Raw genomic sequence first — 20149 nt, 5'->3', positions numbered from 1 at the left:
CCCTTGGAGGGTAAAGGATGGGACAGCAGGTCAGAAGGGGGTGGGGCGGCCTCTTCAGGGGTCTTCAGTATCTAAGGACAGCCACCTTCAGAGTGGTCACAGCCCAGAGCTCTGATGCACGCGGTGCAGGAAAGACAGCCACGTGGGTCTGGCTGCCAGTGTGCAATGCACTTGGGGACATGGGAACCCCAGCATGCAGGGGAAGAGGGGACGGGGTCCATGCCCCACACTTTGCTGACACCCCGGGCTGCTGCTCAGGGAACCAGAATGAGGGTCCTGCCCTGAGCTCCTGGGTGGGGAGACGTCACCCCTCCACATGCAGCCACCACACTCAGCCCCACAAGGGCCTGGGAGTGCCAGGCAGGGCACCCGCAGGATCAGGAGGCAGGGCCAGTGCGTGCAGGGAAAAGTGAGGGCATGCGGTCAGCAGGGGGTCAGCAGGTCCCTCCTCTCATTGGGGGACCCTCAGCAAGTCCCTGGGCCCCCAGGTCCTGGTTTCCACGGCTCTCCCCAAATCCATCAAGCAGAGGCGGCCACTCCGCCTACCTATGTCCTGCCTGCCCTTTGCCTGGCCTGAAGCCCGCCCTGCTCACTTCCTGTCTGGGTTGGCCTCTGCTGAATTATTCACCGGGCATTACTAGGGCAGGCCCTGCCGGAGGAGGCTGGGTGAGGCTCTCCTGGACCGCGTCCCATCCCTCCGCACTCCCTTAGTCATCTCTGGCTCCAGCTTGGAGATGGCTGCTAATGGAACCATGTGGCTGCCTCTCCCGTGGCTGCCACAGCCAGCCGGGACCCTCCCTCTCCCGCAGCCCCTCTCTCTGACTGGAGTCCTCATGCCCGCTGCCTGCTGGCTCTGGGGCCAGAGCTCCGTGGCACATGCGCTGTGTCCAGCAGTGCTTGGCACAGTGTTTGCAAACACAGACCCCAACCAGTCACCATGCTGATACCCAAACCCTGTCGTCAGTGGCATGAAACTGGGGGAGGTGGGGTGTGCTCCAAGACTCACCAGGCTCCAGCTGCTGACACTTTTGCTTTGCTTTCCCAAAAAGTGCTTCCCAGGGGCCAGCTTTGCTTTGGGCTTTGTGTGTACGTGTGTGTGTTTGTGCAAGTGGGTTTGCATTGGACCTGGAAGCGTGCATGCTTGTCTGCATGTGTTCACAGGCGTATGCATATGGGTGTGAGATGTGTACAAACACATTTCTGTTTGTGTATGCATGCGCTTGTGTGCACGTGTGTGTGCATCTGTGTACAACTGTGTCACATGTGCAGTACTTTACACCCAACACAGCTTCCACTGCCTTCTGACTCTTGTGCACGACCACACTCCCACATACCCACGTGTGCAGGCCCAGAAGATCAGGACTCGCAGTGCCGCAGGCCGGGGTCCGCCTCGTTGCTCCCAAACATGGTTTTTGGCTTGTCTTCGCTTGCCGCTTCCTGGCTTGTTCAGCCAGGGACCCTCTCCCCTGTATTAGGGTCCCCCCTAAATCTTTGATGCCAGTTCCTGTCGAGAGAAGGGCCCGTACATCCCCAGGTCTGTGCCAGCCCTGTCCTAACCCAGTTCCTGCTGGTAAAGCATAAGATGTCTCCCCCCGGACCTCCCCAGGCCAGGCCCTCAAACTTCAGCTGGCAGTGCACCGCCCCCCTTAAGTTCAGGCTGGCTTGGAAAAAAAGCGAGTAAAGGAGAAAGGCCGCCCACCCAGGGCATACCTCTGGGCTCCCAGCTCCAGGCCTCGGGGAAGACAGTGTGCCTGCCCCCTCGTGCCCTTGCCCTGCTGGGCAGACATTCGCTGTGGGTGCTGGGAAGCTTATGGGAGGAGCTGGCCTCTCCCCAGTGCGCCTCAGGTGGCAGGAGCTCACTGGTGGAAGTGCTGGGGAGGGGACTCCAGGCCGACTTGGAACACCCCGCTGAGGCTGAGGCTGAGCCTGTGAGGTCGGGACCACTGCACTCCCAGAGGGAGAGCTGCAGCTTCAGGGCCAGCTGCCTGAGCCCTCACCCCTACCATAGCCTCTGACCCTCTCCACCTCACACAGATACCTCTGGGCCTCCTGTCTGATCACCAAGGTTTTATTAAAAGAAACTTCATTTGGAAGCCCTGGGGAGCTGAGAGCTCTGCCGGGCGATCTTCCTCTGGCCTGTGAGTCAGGGTTTCCTTAAACAGAGCAGCTGAGAGGAAAGCCAGGTGGAGAGGAGACGCTGCAGCCTCTAGGCCTCCCCGGCACTGGGCCTCTCCTGGGAGGCAGCTCCAGGGGCTGCAGTGGAGGAACTTAGGGCCAGGGTGGGTCCTGTGTCTGATGCCTAGACAGAGGTCCGGGATCACCAGCCATAGCTGCTGCACAGGCCAGGGGTGGGCAGGTGCTGTGGTGGGGCTCAGCTCCTAGCCCTGTCCACGCCTCACCAGCCGCCCCAGGCACTCAATTATGTGGCAGATTTTCCTGATTTGGAGCCTTCTCCTGCCCTCAGATGGCCCCCGGCTACTGGCCATTTTCCCACAGGCTGAGTAATTCTCACGGGGATTTTATGGCTGGCATCGGCTGTCCACACATTTCTCTCCCCATTAGTGGTCAGAGGGACTCAAAGTCACAGGGACTCAGCCCCATCTGAACACGGGGCTTGTCCAGCACCCACCAAGATACCCCAGCAGAGGGCTGGGGTTTGAAGGGTTTGGCGAGTGTTGGAGCTGCCTGAGCCGGGGTCTGGAGACAGCCTGGTGGCCACACAGGTGTGGGCACTGCAGCAGGTTGTACTTCCCAGCTCCAGAGGGCCGGGCGCTGATCTCTAAGCAAGCTCACTCCAGTGACTGCCATGCTATAAACCCCACGACGCACTGGGGAGCTGAGAGTGTCCCATGAAAGGCCCCAGAAGATGGATTTGATTTGTTCATTCTTATTGGGAACCCTGATTCACAAACCCCGGCAGCTTTGAGGAAATTGGTTATTCATGCCCAGAATGAATCAGCAAAGCCTCCCCACGTCAGTCGCCGCCCGGGAAGCTGTCACCTCCATGGCCGCAGCACTCTCTGCCTTGGCAGGCAAGTGGCATAAAACACTGCCTTCAAAGTGATTCCCAGAACCAGGCCAGGCCAGCCCACTGCCTGCCTGGGATCCGTGCTTCCGGGAACAGGCACGGACCCCAGAATGGGACCAGCTGCAGGTCCAGAGAGCACACGGGCCCCCAGGAACACAGGAGCCCCTCAGCTGCTCTCCTTGGTGCTGAAAGAGCCTGGTGGCAGAGCTGCAGATACCTGCGGCAGAGACGGGGTCCCCACCCCGGCACCCCACAGGCCTCCTCAGTGCCTGCGCCCCCCACCCGAGGACATCTCTGGGTGTGAGTGTGTGGTGTGTGGGGCTGGCTAAGTGTTAGGACTTCACTCGCCCTGGAGAGACCCCCACCAAGAGGGGCAGGAGTTGGCACACTAATTCCCAGGGTTCTCAACACCCAGGGGGTCCCTCTGGATCTGAGCTCTGGTCCCCAAGTGGTCACCGGCTCCCTAACTTGCTCTCTGTCACCTTCCCTCCCCCGGGCCTTGTCTGCCTGTGCCCATGCTGCCCCGCAGCTGATGAACCCCAAAGCGGCCCACTCTGATCTTACACTCAGGAAACGTGGCTCGCTGGGCTGCAGCGTTCTAGGACATTCCGCTCTAGGAGGGGCTGGAGCAGAGCCCCGGGTGCTCCACATGCTCCTCTTTATCTCAGGGGCTTGTGCATCCAGCATATTCCAGTTATTCTTGAGAACTACAAGCAAGAAAGGAGGGAAGAGCCGGGCCTCCAGGGATCTGTTTTACAAGAGGGTCCTCAGGAAAATGACCCTCTTGCATGGCTCATGCAAGGAAAATGAAGCTGCGGTTGTTCAAAGTGGCCACCTGCCCCTCACTCACGCTACCCCTTCCCTGCCTCCCAGTCTCACCTCCCCACCACGCACCCTGCTTGCTGGAATCACCTCCCGCATAAACCCTGTGCCCCAAACCCTCTCCCAGGGTCTGCTTCTTTGGGGACCTTGAAGGAAGACACCAGCGTTCCCCACTTACAGCAGGCTTGGGGCCCAGACTCGGGATCAGCTTTGGAGATGATGTCACACCTGATTTTCTGTTGGGAGAATCCCTGCCTCTGCCCTCTGGCCTCACAGGTGTTGCTGGCTGCACCGGCCAGGGTCAACCCCAGCTGTCCTGTGTGAAAGTCTGGCTGAAGCAGATCTTTCCAGAGCACGTGTCCCCAGAACACTTGGCCCCACCAGATGCTCCAAGAGCCGTCTGGGCAGAGCCGTGCAGGCTGCCTCCCTGGCTGTCCTGAGGGCTGGGGTACGTGCTGCCTCCCTGGCTGTCCTGAGGGCTGGGGTACGTGCTGCCTCCCTGGCTGTCCTGAGGGCTGGGGTACGTGCTGCCTCCCTGGCTGTCCTGAGGGCTGAGGTGTGCACAGCCTGAGTGACCAGCTCGGGAGGCTGTGTGACTGGCACCAGGTGTCTCCAGGAAGAATTTACCAGAAACCCTTATTTACTTATTTTTTCTTTTTGTTTTTTTATAATTAGATACTGGGGCTAGACACGGTGGCTCATGCCTGTAATCCCAACACTTTGGGAGGCTGAGACAGGTAGATCTCCTGAGCCCAGGGGTTTGAGACCAGCCTAGGCGACATGGCAAAACCCACTCTCTACAAAAAATACAAAAATTAGCCAGGCATGGTGGTGTGTCTGTAGTACCAGCTACTTGGGAGGCTGAGGTGGGAGGATCACTTGAGCCCAGGAGGTGGAGGTTGCAGTGAGCCGAGATCACACCACTGCACTACAGCTTGGGCAACACAGTGAGACCCCATCTCAAAAAAAATTAGATACTGTGTCTCGCTATGTTGCCCAGGCTGGTCTCTAACTCCTGGGCTCAAGCAATCCTCCTGTGTTGGCCTCTCAAAGTGCTGGGATCACAGGCGTGAGCCACTGCACCCAGCCAGGAACCCTTATTTTTGCTAATGCCTGTGAGCTCGTGGCCCGAAACCTGTGCCCCTGAGGCCCCTGGTGTGAAGAGCTTCCTAGCAGCTCTGAGCTCACCTACGAGGCGATCAGATTTGCTCTCAGCAGCTGATCCCACCGTGCATCTAAGCAGCGTGAAGTTACCAAAGTCAGTTTCCACACTCCGTCCCAGGAACACAGACGTGACATCCTGGAAGCACAGGGGATTCAAGGTGTCCTCACTCGTAGTTCCAGAGCCCACAGCAACACAGGACATGCAGGCTGCAACTGTGAATTGTGTGTGAATTGCTTTCCTGAAAGAGGCCCTTCTGCAAAGCTGCCAGACCCGGGGGTGGGTCGGACCCGGGGCCCTGCGAGGCTCGGCCACCTCTCTGCCTGGGTCTGAGCTTGACCAGGCGGGTGTCAGTGGAACGTGCCTTTGCAGAGCGGCGCTCCAGGGCTCAGTGCACCACACTGGCTCTGCCGTCCCTATTCCATAGAGGAGAAAAATGAGGTCCCGAGAGGAGCAGCAGCTTGCCAGGGTCACATGCTGGAAATGAAGCCAGGCCTAGCCCCGTCCCCCCGCGCGTGTCCGGCTGAGCTTCCTGAGGAGCAGTGGCCACATCCACACTGCACCAAACCCTCCTGCAGCCGGTTCTCACCGGAGAGACAGTCCCCATGTCAGGGCGGGTGAGCAGCCACCCGCAGAGTGTGTGTGTGTGTGTGCACGCGTGGGGGATGTGTGTGTGTGTCATGTGAGGGACGTGTGTGGGTGTGTGTGTCACGTGAGGGATGTGTGTGTGTCATATAAAGTGTGTGTCACGTGAGGGATGTGTGTGTGTGTTATGTGAGGGATGTGTGTGTGTCATATAACGTGTGTGTGTGTTATGTGAGGGGTGTGTGTGTGTTATGTGAGGGATGTGTGTGTCACATGAGGGATGTGTATGTGTCACGTGAGGGATGTGTGTGTCACGTGAGGGGTGTGTGTGTCATATAACGTGTGTGTGTCACGTGAGGGGTGTGTGTGTCATATAACGTGTGTGTGTGTTATGTGAGGGATGTGTGTGTGTCACGTGAGGGATGTGTGTGTGTGTCATGAGGGACATGTGTGGGTGTGGGTGTGTCACATGAGGGATGTGTGTGTGTGTCATGTGAGGGATGTGTGTGTGTCACATAAGGGATGTGTGTGGGTGTGTGTGTCACATGAGGGATGTGTGTGGGTGTGTGTGGGTGCATGAAGGATGTCATCCCTGTTCCGTGGCCCAGACATGCCTCACCTCACGCAGCCCTGTGCTCCGGGAAGGTGGGTCTGGTCCCGTGGCCCTAGCTGGCACTCCTCTGTCCCCTCCCATCTTGGGGTTTAATCGCCTCCAACTGTCCAGGTCCAGCTGAGGAGCCGCCTCTCCCAGGGCCATTCCTGATCCCCAGGGACCACTCCCCTCTGACCTCCCTGAGCACACATCTTTGTTGGAGGCATTTGTCACCCTGTCATCTGGAGACAGTGACTTCCTCTCATGAGAAGGGGAGCTCCTCGAGGGCAAGGCCTCTCTGTCCATGCGCCCCGGGAGCTGTCTCACGCTGGACCCAGCACGCGGTGGGGGCTTGGTAAGAATGGACTGACCCGGGTCTCTGAATGAGTGAAATTTAAATGTCTGCCTTGTGAGTTGGGTTTTGAGTGTGGGGCTCCGGTTCACATCCCTGTTGGGTTAGCCCAGGGCAAAGCGAGGGTCACCCCCCAGGATCAGCTCCACGCTTGCCCTGAACACAAGAGCCACTGGTGTTCGGGAGAACACACTGTACCCCAGAGGGCACCCAAGTCCCAGGCAGCCAGCAGTTCTGGGGACAGCCTGGAAGGAATTCCCCTGCTCAAAGCTCCTTTCCATCATTTGGGCCTCATTTTACATGTTCCTTCCTCCAGGAAGTCCTCCCTGACCACCCACCAAACCAGGTAAGCAGCAAGTTACTTCTCCCCTCAAACTCAAAGCTGTCTCCGGCTTTCCAAGCCCCAGTTTCCTTGGGTCCCTCATGGCCAAGAAGCACAACATGAGATGTTCCCCATCGTGCCCCAACACTCGTGTGGACAGTCCAGGGTTGAGCTGACCTCTGCTGAACTGTGCGCGCTGGGGCAGGTGCTGCGCCTGAGCTGTGCGTGCCGGGGCAGGTGCTGGGTCTCCCGAAGCCTTGGGTTCCTGCCGTGTCTGAAGCTCACGATGCTGGGTCTTGGGCTTCCTTGCCAAATTGGACAGAAAATCTGTCCTAATTATTGGGAATAATAAGGCCCTTGGAATCTCTTTGCTGTGGAACTTGAAAGACCATCCCCCCCCACCCCCGCACCCATTGCCACGAGGGTGATGGTCACTTTATGTGTCCACTCGGCTGCACCACGGTGCCCAGCTGTTGGCCACACACCTGCCTCGGTGCTGCTGTGCAGGTGTTTTCTGGCAGGATGAACACTTAGCTCAGCAGGTTTTGAGGTAGGAAAGTGACGCTCCACCATGGGGGTGGGCCTCGTCCCAGCAGCTGAGGCCTTGAGAGCAAAGACCGAGGTTTCTGGAAGAAAACGGGATTCTCCTCCACAAGATGGCAATGTGGAAGCCGTGCTGAGTTCCCAGCCTGCCGCCCTGCGGAATTTGGACTCAGATGGCAGCATCAGCTTCCCTGGACTTCCAGCCAGCTGGCCTGCCCTGCAATTGCCAGTCCCCACAATCATGTGAGCCAATTCATTAAAACCAATCTCTCTTATTCTTGATAGATAGAAAGAAAGAGAGAGAGAGAGAGAAAGAAGAAAGAAAGAAAGAGAGGAAGGAAGGAAAAGAAAGATAGAAAGAAAGAGAAGGAAAGAGAGAGAGGAAAGAAAGAAAGAAGAAAGAAAGAAAGAAAGAAAGAAAGAAAGAAAGAAAGAAAGAAAGAAAGAAAGAAAGAAAGAAAGAAGATGGATAGCTAGCTAGCTAGCTGGATAGATGGATGGATGGATAGATAGATGAATAGATGGATAGATAGATGGACAGATACATAGATGGATGGATGGATGGATAGATGAATAGATGGATGGATGGATGGATAGACAGATGGATAGATGGATAGATACATAGATGGATGGATGGATACATAGAATCAATAGATTGATTCATAAAGACAGAGAGAGGTGGACATGGATCCTACTGGTTCTGTTTCTCTGGGGAGCCCTGACTGACGTGGCTGGTCCCCCACACTGACAAGTAGACTGGCTGTTCGGTCAGGATTGGATGTGGCAGGGTTTGGTGCAATGTGGATGTGGCTGGCTCCTTAGGAAGCTCAGCCAGACATGCACAGGGGGGTGGGGCTGGGCCTGGCACCATTTCCAGTATGTGACCCAGGCAAATTCCTTCTCTCAAACTCAAAGCCATCTCTGGCTTCCCAAGCCCCAGTTTCCGTGGGTCCCTCATGGCTGAGAAACACAACATGAATTCAGAGGGAAGAGAAGAGCTGAGAACTGGCTCAGAGGCAGAGGCCACCCCCCAGCCTCTCGTGTTCCACCCTGTCCTCAGCGATGGGGACACAGAGGCCAGAGAGGCCCCTGCCTTCTTCAAGGTCATGGCTTGGAACAATGAGCAGTTCCAAAATTCACATATGTCCTTCTCCAGGCTCCCCAGCTGCCCTTCAGAGTGCTGGATTTCTCCACCTTTCCACCGTCTTCACCGCCTTCCACTGCCTTTCCACTGCCTTTCACCCCACAGTCTCTCCCGTCGGGGCTCCTTCCTCTCCGTCCCTCCGAGGGTCCGCTGCCCTTCCGCGGGATGGGATGGATCCTTCCAGCCCGGGGGCGGCAAAAGGTGCAGGTGGGGGCGGGGCGCGGGGGCGGGGCGGGGGCTACAATTTGTTAGGCTCCATGTGACTGTGTGCTGAGCTCCTCTAAGAGGCCTGGGGGCTGGGCAGTGACTGGCGTGTGCCCCGGAGTGCGGGGGCAGGGGGCTTGCCTCTCACTCCACGCCCAAGTTCCTGGGTGAATGCGTTCTGGGCAGCCTGGGTTTGTGGGTCTGAATCACAGAACTTCAGATCACACCTAGGCTGGAGGCCAACCCCGGCTGCAGACTCGGGGGAACGTCCTGAGCGCTTTCTTTTTAAACAGCTTTGACATGTGCAGCAAATAAGAGTTGAGTGAGGGATCCGCAGTGCCCTTGTGACGTCCTCCTGGAGAAGGGGCATTCACCACCCTCGCGGGCTGGGTTCCTGGCCACGCCTGCCCACCTGCCGGCCCGCCTGGGGCAGCTCTGGCAAACCCGGGGTGACCTGGGGGGGCGTGGAGGAGTGGCCCGATTTCTCCCGACCTGGGATCTGTACCTCCTCGCCTGAGACTTTCTTTCCAAAATTTCTAAATAAGAGCAGCCCTCACAGCTAGTTTCACATTCCCACCATCAAGAAAAGTGTGGAATAAAACTAAACCTACTGACTCCTCCTGTCCCCACCCCCAAATAGCCTCATTCAGCAGTTTCTCCGAAGCCTTCAGAGCAGTTTTCATTCAAACTTGCATGTAATTGTTGCTGCTTTAAAGAGAATCGCCCACAGCACGTAACACACAGCCTCTGGGTGCACGCAGGCCCAGGGGACGCTCGCAGGCCCGGCATGGGGTGGGGGGCATGCAAGCCCGGGGGGTGCCCGCAGGCCGGGTGCGGGGGGGCGGTGGCGCACGCAGGCTCAGGGGACGCACACAGGCTGGGTGGTGGTGGTGGGGGGTGATGCACGCAGGCCCGGTGTGAGGTGGGGGGACCTGGCGTGGGGTGGGGGAGTACGCAAGCCCAGGGGGTGCGCGCAGGCTGGGGGGGTGCATGCAGTCCCAGCGTGGGGTGGGGGGCATGCAAGCCTGGAGGGTGCATGCAGGTCCAGCATGAGGTGGGGAGCATGCAAGCCTGGGGGGGTGCGCGCAGGCTGGGGGGGTGCATGCAGTCCCAGCATGGGGTGGGGGGCATGCAACCCCAAGGGGTTGCACGCAGACCCTCCGCAAGCGCTGCAGCTACTGCTGTCCCTGGTGTGGCTGTGCCAAGATTTACTCACCGGGTCCCCACTGTCATTGCGGACACCAGCCGAGGGAGCCTCCTCAGCCCAGGAGCTCCCTCCTAGGGATGCGTCCAGGCAGGGAGGGCATGCCCGTGAGGGGGAGGCAGCTGGGCCTGGGCATCCACAGGCCTCAGGGTCAGGGGTTGAGGAGGGACTAGGCTTCCCTGTCAGCCCCGTGCAGAGCTCCCCAGGTTGACTGGCCCATCTCTCCCTCCTGCAGGGAGCTGAGCGCCATCCTCCCTCCCCTGTGGACAGCCCGCGAGGGCGCCTTTCCCGCCCATGTTCTAGAGGTCACCTGCACAGCAGGGGTGCCGGGGCCCAGCCAGGCGCCAGGCTGCAGGGGTGCCACCCTCAACCCTGGTGGTACCACCCCTGCTCTCACCCCTGCTACCATGCCTTGCCCATTCCTGGAGGGCCTCCCCGCTCCCAGATCCCACCCGTCACTGGGATCCCCAGATGGCTCTCTTTGTCCTGAGCCCTCCCACCTCCCTGCTCCACAGCAAATTTGCCTGTTATATTCCCACCCCCACAAGGTGTGGAACCTCAAGGGCAGGTGCTGCCTCAGGGGCGCAGAGCCATGCTGCCCACCGCCCCATGGTGCCCACACAGCGTGAGTGAGGCACAGGGTTGCTGGGCAGGGGCTCTGCTGGTACTGGGATGAGCTGATGCTGCCCCAAGGCCCCTCCCACTGTGGCAGGACTGGCATGGAACTGGATCTGTGCAGAAGCCCCCCATGGGGGTGGGCCTGGCAGAAGCAGCCCCCTCCCCATGTTGACAGCATTAGCCTGAGGCTTAATTTCGTGGAAATCTCTGCCAAGGGCTGAGGTTAAAAGTGTCCTCCAGGGACAAGCCTCTCCTCTCTAAATGAGCCCAAGTCCTCCATGGTCCCTCCTTTCCCCAGCAAACCTCACTCATGGGACAAAGGCTGGCAGGGCCCACACCACTGCAGGGTCTTGCCGAGATTCCCGGGAGATGCGCTCAGGGGCGAGAGGCCCAGTTCTTGGAAGCTGCCAAAATGGAATAAAAGCAGCTCCAAAGACTTTTGTTCTCCAGCTCAGCTCGGGGCCAAGTCACGCCACCCAGGAGAGCCCCTGAAGGTCGAGGACATGAGGGTGTGCAGTAAGCCGGGGGCTCCGAGGGTGTCCCAGCGTGTGTGCAAGGGGGACAGGGCCCTGCAGATGTCCCAGAGAGGGACTGAGGCCATGTGCTCAGGGGCCTCCCAATAAATACCCGGGAGTCGCTGAGACAGAGACAGAGACAGAGACAGAGACAGAGGGAGACAGGGACAGAGGGAGAGGGAGACAGAGACAGAGACAGAGAGAGACAGATACAGAGGGAGAGGGAGACAGAGACAGACAGAGACAGAGGGAGAGGGAGACAGAGACAGAGACAGAGGGACGGAGACAGAGACAGACAGAGACAGAGAGACAGAGACAGACAGAGACAGAGAGACAGAGACAGAGGGAGACAGGACAGAGACAGAGAGAGAGACAGAGGGAGAGGGAGATGGAGACAGGGACAGAGGGAGAGGGAGACAGGGACAGAGGGAGAGGGAGACAGAGACAGAGACAGAGAGAGACAGAGACAGAGACAGAGGGAGAGGGAGACAGAGACAGAGGGAGAGGGAGACAGAGACAGACAGAGACAGAGGGATGGAGACAGAGACAGACAGAGACAGAGAGACAGAGACAGACGGAGACAGAGAGACAGAGACAGAGGGAGACAGGACAGAGACAGAGAGAGAGAGACAGAGGGAGAGGGAGATGGAGACAGGGACAGAGGGAGAGGGAGACAGAGACAGAGAGAGACAGAGACAGAGGGAAAGGGAGACAGAGACAGAGACAGAAGGAGAGGGAGACAGAGACAGAGGGAGACAGAGAGAGAGACAGAGGGAGAGGGAGATAGAGGGAGACAGGGACAGAGAGACAGAGACAGAGGGAGACAGGGACAGAAAGAGACAGAGACAGAGAGAGACAGAGGGAGAGGGAGACAGAGACAGAGGGAGACAGCAATAGAGGGAGAGGGAGACAGAGAGAGACAGAGGGAGAGGGAGACAGAGACAGACGGAGACAGAGAGACAGAGACAGAGGGAGGCAGGGACAGAGGGAGAGAGAGATAGACAGAGATAGACAGAGAGACAGGGACAGAGGCACAGGGAGACAGAGACAAGGAGACAGAAGGAGACAGAGACAGGGAGAGACAGAGACAGGGAAACAGAGACAGAGGGAAGCAGAGACAGCGACAGGAAGAGAAAGGAAGGGAAGGGAGCAGAGCTGGGGGGTCAGAGGTCTGGGCTGGTGAGGGCACTTAGAGGCCCATGTCCAGCCTCTCCGGCTGTCAGGTGGAGGCTGGCTGCCTGGTGGCTGTGTGCTGGTTCTGGAATCTTCTGCCTGAGTTTGAAGCCCAGCTTAGCCATTTCATGGCTACGTGACCTCAGAAGTCACGAAAGTTGCCGTAGCCTCAATATCCTACTCTGTACAATGGGCTAATAACAGTGACCTGCATGGAAGGGTCCCCGTGGAGGTGGAGTCTCACACATGTGGGGGGCTCTGGGCCACACGGCCGTGACGCCTGCCACTCCCCTGGGACCTCTTCTGCTGGGCTGTCACGGTGCGCTCCGAAAGACACCCCCTGCAGACCTTCACTTGTGCAGCAAGCTCATGGCCCGCCCCAGCAGGAGGCGGGGCTGCAGGTCAGGCTGTGGAGTGGCGGTCTTGCCTGAGCTGCCTGAACCCGCCTCGTGGACCTGCCCCGCTCTCCTGTCCCCCGGGGAGGCCCTTGGTGCTAATGGGCACCAGACACCAGAGGAGGTGCTAGAGAGACTTTTCAGGGCAGGTTGGGTGGAGATTCTTCCGGGTTTCTCAGAAAAAATTAATTCTCCCAAGCTCCACTGTGCGGTCTGCAGCTGGAGACCCGCTGACACCCCCCGTGGACGACTGCAGCCAGCGGGTGCAGTGCCAGGCTTCCTAGGGGTGCTGAATCCGCCTGGCTCAATGCAGCCCTCAGGCTGTGGAGTTGGGGCCGGGAGCGATGCTTGGGAACGCAGCAGTGTCTAGAATTTATTCCAGCACTTTCCAAGGAAAGAAATTAAGCAAAACCCTTAGGGGGCAATAATAATAACAGCTACTCTGGGTGCCTGCTTTTGCCAAGTGCTGTGTGCCTGCCCGTCCCAGCTCCCCTGCAAGGTGACGGGGCTGCCGCATCCATTCTGCAGATGACAAAACCAAGGCAGAGCCCAGGGCACAGAACAGCTCGGGGCCTGTCACCAGGAGAAGAGGACCAGCCTGAGCCGTGGCCCCTTTCCTGGGCTGCCACTGCTAGCGGCCCAGAGCTGTCCTGTGCTCTGTCACCGCGGGGACACCTCTGCACAAGGTCTATAGCCGCTTCTCTGCTCAGGTAGACGCCTGGCTGGGCCCAGCCCTCGTACTCCCTCCTCCACACACAGCAGGTGGGGGCGGGGCCTGCATCAGGTGCCACCGGGTGCTCAGGGCCTGCAGGGCGGAGGCACCTTCTTTGGCGAGTTGCACGTCACCCCAGTCCCCAGGGACCGGGCACCAGCCCCAGCCCTGCTGCCCTCCAGCTGCCCTTGGGCGAGTTGCTGTCCCTTGCTCCCCGAAGGCAGGACAATGCCACCTCCCGGGAGGACGTGTGTGAGCAGCAGTGACGTAGCCACAGGGCAATCATTAGCATATTGTTGTTAATTATTAACATATCAATACAATTAATATGATGCGGCATTAATAATTCATGTGTCGGAGCTCTAGTCTGTGGAGGGCATATTAGAAGCTTGGCAGCTCCATTTTCAGACCAGGGAGTTCCCGAATAGACCAAGTCTCTATGTTAACACCCTCATTCCAAATTGCACCCGGGACCATTAGCAAGTCAACATTTTAATGAACTTGCCGAGGCGCATGACTTAATTGCCCTCATCTTCTAGCTCCAGGTTCTTCAGATGTAGCTGATTCTGTCCTCGTGTGGCCAGAGACTCAATTCCTATGGACTCAGAAGCACGGAGGCGAGAGCCTTCCTGACCCCCAGCCGGGGTCTAGGGTCTCCTGGAAGCTTGCCATGCTGGGGTGCACCCACAGGATCGTCCCTGTACTTTGATCCAGCCCAGGGCTCACTGAGGGTCTGGGAGTCAGCTGGGGCTGGGAGTGAGCTGCAGCTGCTGGGAGCTGTCCACAAGCGGGGTCCTGGAAGGACCTCACAGCCACTGCGCTCTCGCCACTCTGCTTAATAAAAATGGTGTGTGCACTCTGCCTGGTGTGGGCCATGCTTCCTGGGCAGGTTTCCCATGGGTGCAGAAGGTAAATGTTGTGCCCAGGATCCCACATAAACCTGTACCCAGGCCTGAGAAAGATCGGCTGCCTTCCCAGACTGAGCTGTCATTGGGGGTCCTGTCCAGTCTCTTCCCAAACCAAGAGCTCCTTGCACAGGGTGAGAAGGACTTTCCTCTAGGGAACGGCGAGGAAGGAGAGGCAGCTATGGTGTTCGAAGCATCAGGGAGGCTGACGGTGGCCCCAGGCAGGCGGGACCCAGGCACACTCAGGAGGCCTCGGCCACACATCCAGGAGCGGGAGATCAGCACTCTCCCAGCATCTCAAGGGCACGGCCTCCTCCGGCACCCCCTGCCTCAGACTCCCCGCCCCACAACTACCCAGGCCAGGCTGGGAGAAGGAGCAGAGGTGGGGACTAGGGGCCTGCAGCCAGCCTCTGCCCAGGCCGCTTGTGCGGGTGGCGAATGTTGATGTCTTTCAACTGCATGGCCCCACCTGACCCTCCCATGAGGAGGTGAGAGCAGGCTTGAGACATTGGTGGCTTCTCCAAGGCCCCACACCAGGACTTTGCTGAAGGGCTTCGGACCTGAGCCCCGCCACCTGTGGCCTCCAGCTAAGGGTGTGGTGAGGGCTCACAGCGCTGTCCTGGACTCAGTTTTATTTGGTGTGAGCCATGACAGGGCCATCCCACACTTAGACTGGGTTCCGTGAAGGGGAGTGATCTGATGTGGCGCCCTGGCCCGCCCCTCGCGGAGCTCACCTCCCTGCAGCTAATGGAGTGGGTGCAGGGGCGGCGGGCTGCAGCCCCCACAGCATGAGCTCATCCAACTGGGCTGATTCACAACAGAGAGTGCCTGCTCTCCCAGGCTGACAGCGGCGTCTAACAAATGAGAAAATAAGACACTTCCTAGGGGCCATTTCCTCCCACTCTTGGTTCCGGGAATGAAAAGAACTCTCCGAGGGGCTGCGGGGCTTTGCTGCTACTGCTTTGCTGTCTGTCCTCAAGTCAGCTTTGCTCTCCTGAAAGACCCTACACATCCACAACCGCCCCGGGCCCGGTCAGGAGGTCCCTGTGTGCACAAGCCAGTGTGCGTGCAAGAGAGACTGTGAGAGAAGACCCAACACCTGAAACTGCAATTTGGCTCGTTCTGAAGGAGCCTTTGGCCGTGGATGTGATGGATTTATGGGTGACAGGCGCACTTTGCAAAAAAGAAGCGATGAGCAGATGTGCATGCATTATCCACAGAGTGCCACGTGCAGCCTCACGTCCAAAAGATGCAGATGATTTACTCACTGCTGCGTCCACCTGCTGGTGTGAAAAATATGGAAACGCTCCACCCAGAAATTCCCGTGTGGGACTGGGTCTCCCCACCCTGCCCCACCAGGTTCTTTTCCGGTGGGGAGAGCTGAGGAATGGGGTTCCCATAGCAGGAAAAGCCTTGTGATTTGTCAGTGAAACATTTTTATGAAATCACATTCGCCATTTGCTTTTCTCTCAGGTTTTGAGTTGGAGCTCCCTTTGTCTCCCTCATTGCCCCTGGCCATCTCCCGAGAAGCTTATTGACGAAGCTTCACTTAGGTACGGAGGCCCTGGAGGGGCCCTCCTCATGCCCCTGCCCACCTTCCTTGGAAAGCACCCCAGGTAGTCAGGCACCTGCCCCGAGTCACAGGAGGCACCCCCCAGCCCCCCACCTGGGTTCAGTCTCCACTGAACGCAGCATTTCTCCCAGGGGTCTCTTTCACTGTGTCCACAATGCAATCCTGGAAAATGTACAAAATTGACTGTGTACATTGACACACAGATGGTCACCCAGCGTGTCTTCTCCTCCAATGAGGAAACGTGTATTACAGCTGCTATAAAGATACACCCTCTATAGGAAAGTGGCCCCAAACGTCCCAGTCTGCAGTCCACAGCGCCATACCTGCCTCACGTGCCTGTCCCCCGGGCAGCTTGGGCAGTGCCAGCCTTGCCTCTGCGCTGTTCACAGAGCCTGCTTTCTGTCGCTGGCGTTGGCACTCACGTCTTTCTGTTTTCACTCTTAGAAATAAAGTAAGGTCAGAGCACAGGAAAGCAGCTCACCACCCACCCACCACTGTATCGAGACGGCGGGGCTGCGGGAGTCGGCCCACCAGGTGGGAGGGCAGTGCACGGTGGGTGACAGACGCTCACGCGGGGCCTGGCATCAGCACACTGTGGAGGCAACGGTGCAGGGTGGCCTCACTCTGCCTGCCCAGCGTCCCTCCTCCTTTCATTATCAGGTCCCTGGTTTCAATCCGGGGAGCCTGGGTAGTTCTAGGGGATGGCTTTCTCCCACCCCAAGTGGTCAAGTGACCCAAGCCTGGCCAGCGAGTGCCCATCTTGGGACCTTTGCTGGGTTTCTTGAAATGAATCTCTCTCGTGCTTGCTCTTTTGGTGTCTTTTTCCCTCTGTCTCTCTCTTTCTCTTTGTCTCTTTCCCTCCTCTCTGTCTCTTTCTCTCACTCTGTCTCTTTCTGTCTGTGCGTCTCTCACTCTCTGTCTCTTTCTCTCTGTCTCTCTCTGCATCTTTCTCTCCCCCTCCACCTCTCTCTCTCTCTCTCCCTCTCTCCTCCCTCTCTGTCCCACCGATTAGATATATAAGCCTGAAATCTCAGTGTCCATTTTGCTCCGCCTGCAGACAGCCTGCCAGGAGTGAAGCTAGCCCCAAGGAAAGTGGAGCTGAGCTATGGAGAAAGATTTCTGATGACATGGTTTGGGTTCTGGATCCAGCCCTATTTTCAGACCTCTTGGCCACATAAGCAAGTTGATTCATCTTCTGAGTTGAGTTTCTATCCCCAGCCAACCCAGCATGGCAGGAGTGACAGCAACCAGCCCCATGTGGCTCCTGCAGCCCTGCCTCTGCCCTCTGCACCCTGTGGAGGCTGAGACTCTCGAATGCCCATCAGCAGGCCAATGGTGTCGTCATAGAATGGAGCCCTTCTCAGCAAAGAAAAGGAACAAAACCTATGGAAACACACAACAGCGCAGAAGAGTCTTAAAATGATGTTGAAAGAGGCCAGGCACACAGCCCACACACTGCATGATTCCATTTAGAAAGTTCCAGCTGAAACAGATCTGATCCATGCTGGCTAGTCCATGATTGCTGGGACAGAGGAAGGGGATGACTGCCAAGGTATATGAGGGAAGTTTTTGAACTGATGGAATCTTCCAGATCTTGGTTGTGATGGTGGTTGCATGAGTGTAAAACTCAACATTTGTTAAAACTCTACAAACTTCACACTTAAAATCTGTGCATTTTTTTTGTATGTAAATTATATGACAACCAAGCTGACCCTGAGAGAGCACGCAGGACGTGGGGTCCACCCGATGAGACACACCTGGCCAGAGACAGGACGATCTGAGCTGCAAAGATGATAATAATTGCAGTGGACTGAGACCTACCAAACACGTTTCGGTTCATGAATCCATAATGATACATATTTCTTTTAAATTCAAAGGCAGTCACCATTTATTAACTTACCAGATTACAAAAATAATGATGTAGACCTGAGTTCATTCTGCTAGAAAGCCTGCTGGTCTGGTCTTCCTGGCTGCCAGCACCCCTACCTTCTACAAAACGAGTGGGCTTTTTCTTCATTTCACCTGGTGGAGAAGAGAACTTCAGCCCACAGGAGGTAGTCTGCTTCTTTGAAGTGTTTTCCAGCAGCGTAGATCTCATGCATCAGACCCTCCACGCAGACGATGCCGTATTGACCAGGAACTCCAGCAGTGGAAGAGCGCTCTCCAAGGTGGCCCGCTTCCTGTTGGTGTTGCCGGAGCCGTGCCTGGAGACCTGCTCCTCTACCGACTTCGTGTTCAGGCCCCCGACACAGTGCGGTGTCTGCTTCCACGTCCTGAAGGCACGTTCACTGAAGCCTTGCTGAGATGGACAGATGTGCCCCTGAAGACACAGTAAAGGTGAACAAGCTGCAAGCCCACACCGGGGACCCCCTGCTGCCAATGGCCAGGCCAGTCTGGGCTCCCAGGTGCGTACGACGAAGTGCCTCTGTCCCAGTGCCACAGTGACTCGGATCCCAGCTCTGGGCTCTGTATTCCTTGCGGTGGTGCAAAGCTTTCTCATAACTCAGCTTCCCCCTTGGCTTTCAAAGCATCTTTTTAAAAACTCCTGTCTCAGGCACCTGATCTTTAGTTCTGTGAAATCCTTCACTGCTCCATAAGGGGCTTCTGGTGCAGCAGGAACCTTCTCTTCCCTTCGATGCCGTCCACAGTTCCTGCTGGAAAGGGGCCTGCGCGCACAGTGGTATCGAGCAAGCCAATCCTCAGGAGGGCTTCGGGGACCTGGTGCATTTTCCTGAAAAGCGGCGGCTGCAGGAGAAGATTTGTGCCTTTATCCTGCTTCCTCTGGACAGTGGCACTGGGGATGAGACTGCGTGGAGGAGAAGAGTTTCCATAAAGGTATCCCGACAAATAAGTGAAAAAGAACTTCCAGACTCAGGACATCACCGTCTTGCAACCTTGATGGATTAGTGGCTTGAGGCACAGAGCAAGCCTGGCCACCATTCCAGGAGTGCACAGCCCTGACCTGTGTCCTCCTGATGGGGGGACAAAACAGAACCTGGGTTCCTGCTGCAGGGATGCAGCCTGAGTGGGAGGAGTCTCCGGGTCCAGCCACCAGCACACAGGAAGCTCAGAGGACAGAGGAACAGGCAGAACTGCACCAAGAGGGCGCCACCAGCAATCCTGATGCATGACACACCCCAGGCCAAACGACCTGGTCCTTCAGCAGACACATTATAAAAAAAAAAAGAGAGAGCAACAGGAGGGACCTACAGACTGAAACAGACTTGAAACATTTTTAAAATCAAGCTGTTATAAAAAGTTAGGCAAAGCTGGCAGGCTGTCGTGGCTCCCTGCCTCCCCACAGGCCCCACTTTCCCACAGGCCCTGCCTCCCCACAGACCCCGCCTTCCCACAGGCCCCACTTTCCCACAGGCCCCACCTTCTCACAGGCCCCGCCTCCCCACAGACCCCACCTTCCCACAGACCCCGCCTTCCCACAGACCCCGCCTTCCCACAGGCCCCGCCTTCTCACAGGCCCCACCTCCCCACAGGCCCCACCTCCCCACAGGTCCCATCCCACTTCCTGTCTACAGGAACTTCCACAGGGTCTCATTGAGGTGCCAGGGCAGAGGGGTGGTGAGGGGCCATAGCTTTGGGGAGGGGAACACAGAGGGAGAGGGAAGGGAAGGGGGAAGCACAGGGTTCACCTGGGAAAGCCCAAACAACCCCCCATGTGACTGCCTCATTCTGAGCTTCTCAGGGAAGCTCCCTCAGCCACCTCCCACCCATCCCCCTCCCCCACCTCAGGGACCCAACCTCCTCCCTCACTCAGCCTCCCCTGTCTGCCTTAGCTCACACCCAGCCCCTTCTCCAAACTGCCTGCGTCTGCTGCCGGAACCCTCTGTTGGCCCCTAATCCTACTGATGGGTGGTCTCACCTGCTGCGAGGCATTAGGCGTCTGTGTGATTGTGTGGTGGGGGGATGGGAGCGTGTGTGCATGTGAGTGTGTGCACATGTGTGCCTATGTGTGTGTGTTGTGCATGTGTGGGTGTGTGCATATATATGTTTGTGCACATGTGTGTGCCTGTGTGCATGCATGTGTACTCATGTATACATACATGAGTACCTGCATTGCTTTGTGTATCTGTGAGAAGCTGTGCATACATGTGCGTTTATGTGTGTGTGGAGGGGTGTGCCTGCATGTCCGTGTGTGGGAATGTGCAGGTAAGTGCATGTGTAAGCATGTGTCTGGGTGTGCACGTGTGTGCCTGTGTGTGCATCGTGCATGTGTGCATTGTGTGTGCCTGTGTGAGAATGTGCATGTGCCTCTGTGTGTGTGTTTGCACGTGTGTGTGTTTGC

At 57.5% G+C, this 20149-nt stretch overlaps 1 pseudogene, besides 6 other annotated features; it reads right to left on the bottom strand.

Annotated features, from left to right (window-relative positions):
- Positions 1827 to 2334: an enhancer, noted in NCBI's record as "H3K4me1 hESC enhancer chr20:61186037-61186544 (GRCh37/hg19 assembly coordinates)". NCBI's record gives its function as "activates a minimal SCP1, AML or CMV promoter by ChIP-STARR-seq in naive H9 embryonic stem cells {active_cell/tissue: H9 hESC(naive)}" and the evidence as "EXISTENCE:reporter gene assay evidence [ECO:0000049][PMID:30033119]".
- Positions 12063 to 13014: an enhancer, noted in NCBI's record as "H3K27ac-H3K4me1 hESC enhancer chr20:61175357-61176308 (GRCh37/hg19 assembly coordinates)". NCBI's record gives its function as "activates a minimal SCP1, AML or CMV promoter by ChIP-STARR-seq in primed H9 embryonic stem cells {active_cell/tissue: H9 hESC(primed)}" and the evidence as "EXISTENCE:reporter gene assay evidence [ECO:0000049][PMID:30033119]".
- Positions 14459 to 14958: an enhancer, noted in NCBI's record as "H3K4me1 hESC enhancer chr20:61173413-61173912 (GRCh37/hg19 assembly coordinates)". NCBI's record gives its function as "activates a minimal SCP1, AML or CMV promoter by ChIP-STARR-seq in primed H9 embryonic stem cells {active_cell/tissue: H9 hESC(primed)}" and the evidence as "EXISTENCE:reporter gene assay evidence [ECO:0000049][PMID:30033119]".
- Positions 14959 to 15460: an enhancer, noted in NCBI's record as "H3K4me1 hESC enhancer chr20:61172911-61173412 (GRCh37/hg19 assembly coordinates)". NCBI's record gives its function as "activates a minimal SCP1, AML or CMV promoter by ChIP-STARR-seq in primed H9 embryonic stem cells {active_cell/tissue: H9 hESC(primed)}" and the evidence as "EXISTENCE:reporter gene assay evidence [ECO:0000049][PMID:30033119]".
- RPL7P3 (ribosomal protein L7 pseudogene 3) lies at positions 17779 to 18493 on the bottom strand (annotated as a pseudogene).
- Positions 18927 to 19056: an enhancer, noted in NCBI's record as "active region_18205". NCBI's record gives its function as "activates an Ori minimal core promoter by ATAC-STARR-seq in GM12878 lymphoblastoid cells {active_cell/tissue: GM12878}" and the evidence as "EXISTENCE:reporter gene assay evidence [ECO:0000049][PMID:35858748]".
- Positions 19247 to 19336: a silencer, noted in NCBI's record as "silent region_13113". NCBI's record gives its function as "represses an Ori minimal core promoter by ATAC-STARR-seq in GM12878 lymphoblastoid cells {active_cell/tissue: GM12878}" and the evidence as "EXISTENCE:reporter gene assay evidence [ECO:0000049][PMID:35858748]".

This window comes from Homo sapiens, chromosome 20 (genome assembly GCF_000001405.40).
Source record: "Homo sapiens chromosome 20, GRCh38.p14 Primary Assembly".
Classification (NCBI taxonomy): Eukaryota; Metazoa; Chordata; class Mammalia; order Primates; family Hominidae; genus Homo; species Homo sapiens.
Note: the sequence above shows the minus strand (reverse complement) of the source record. Positions and strands in the feature narration are given on the sequence as shown.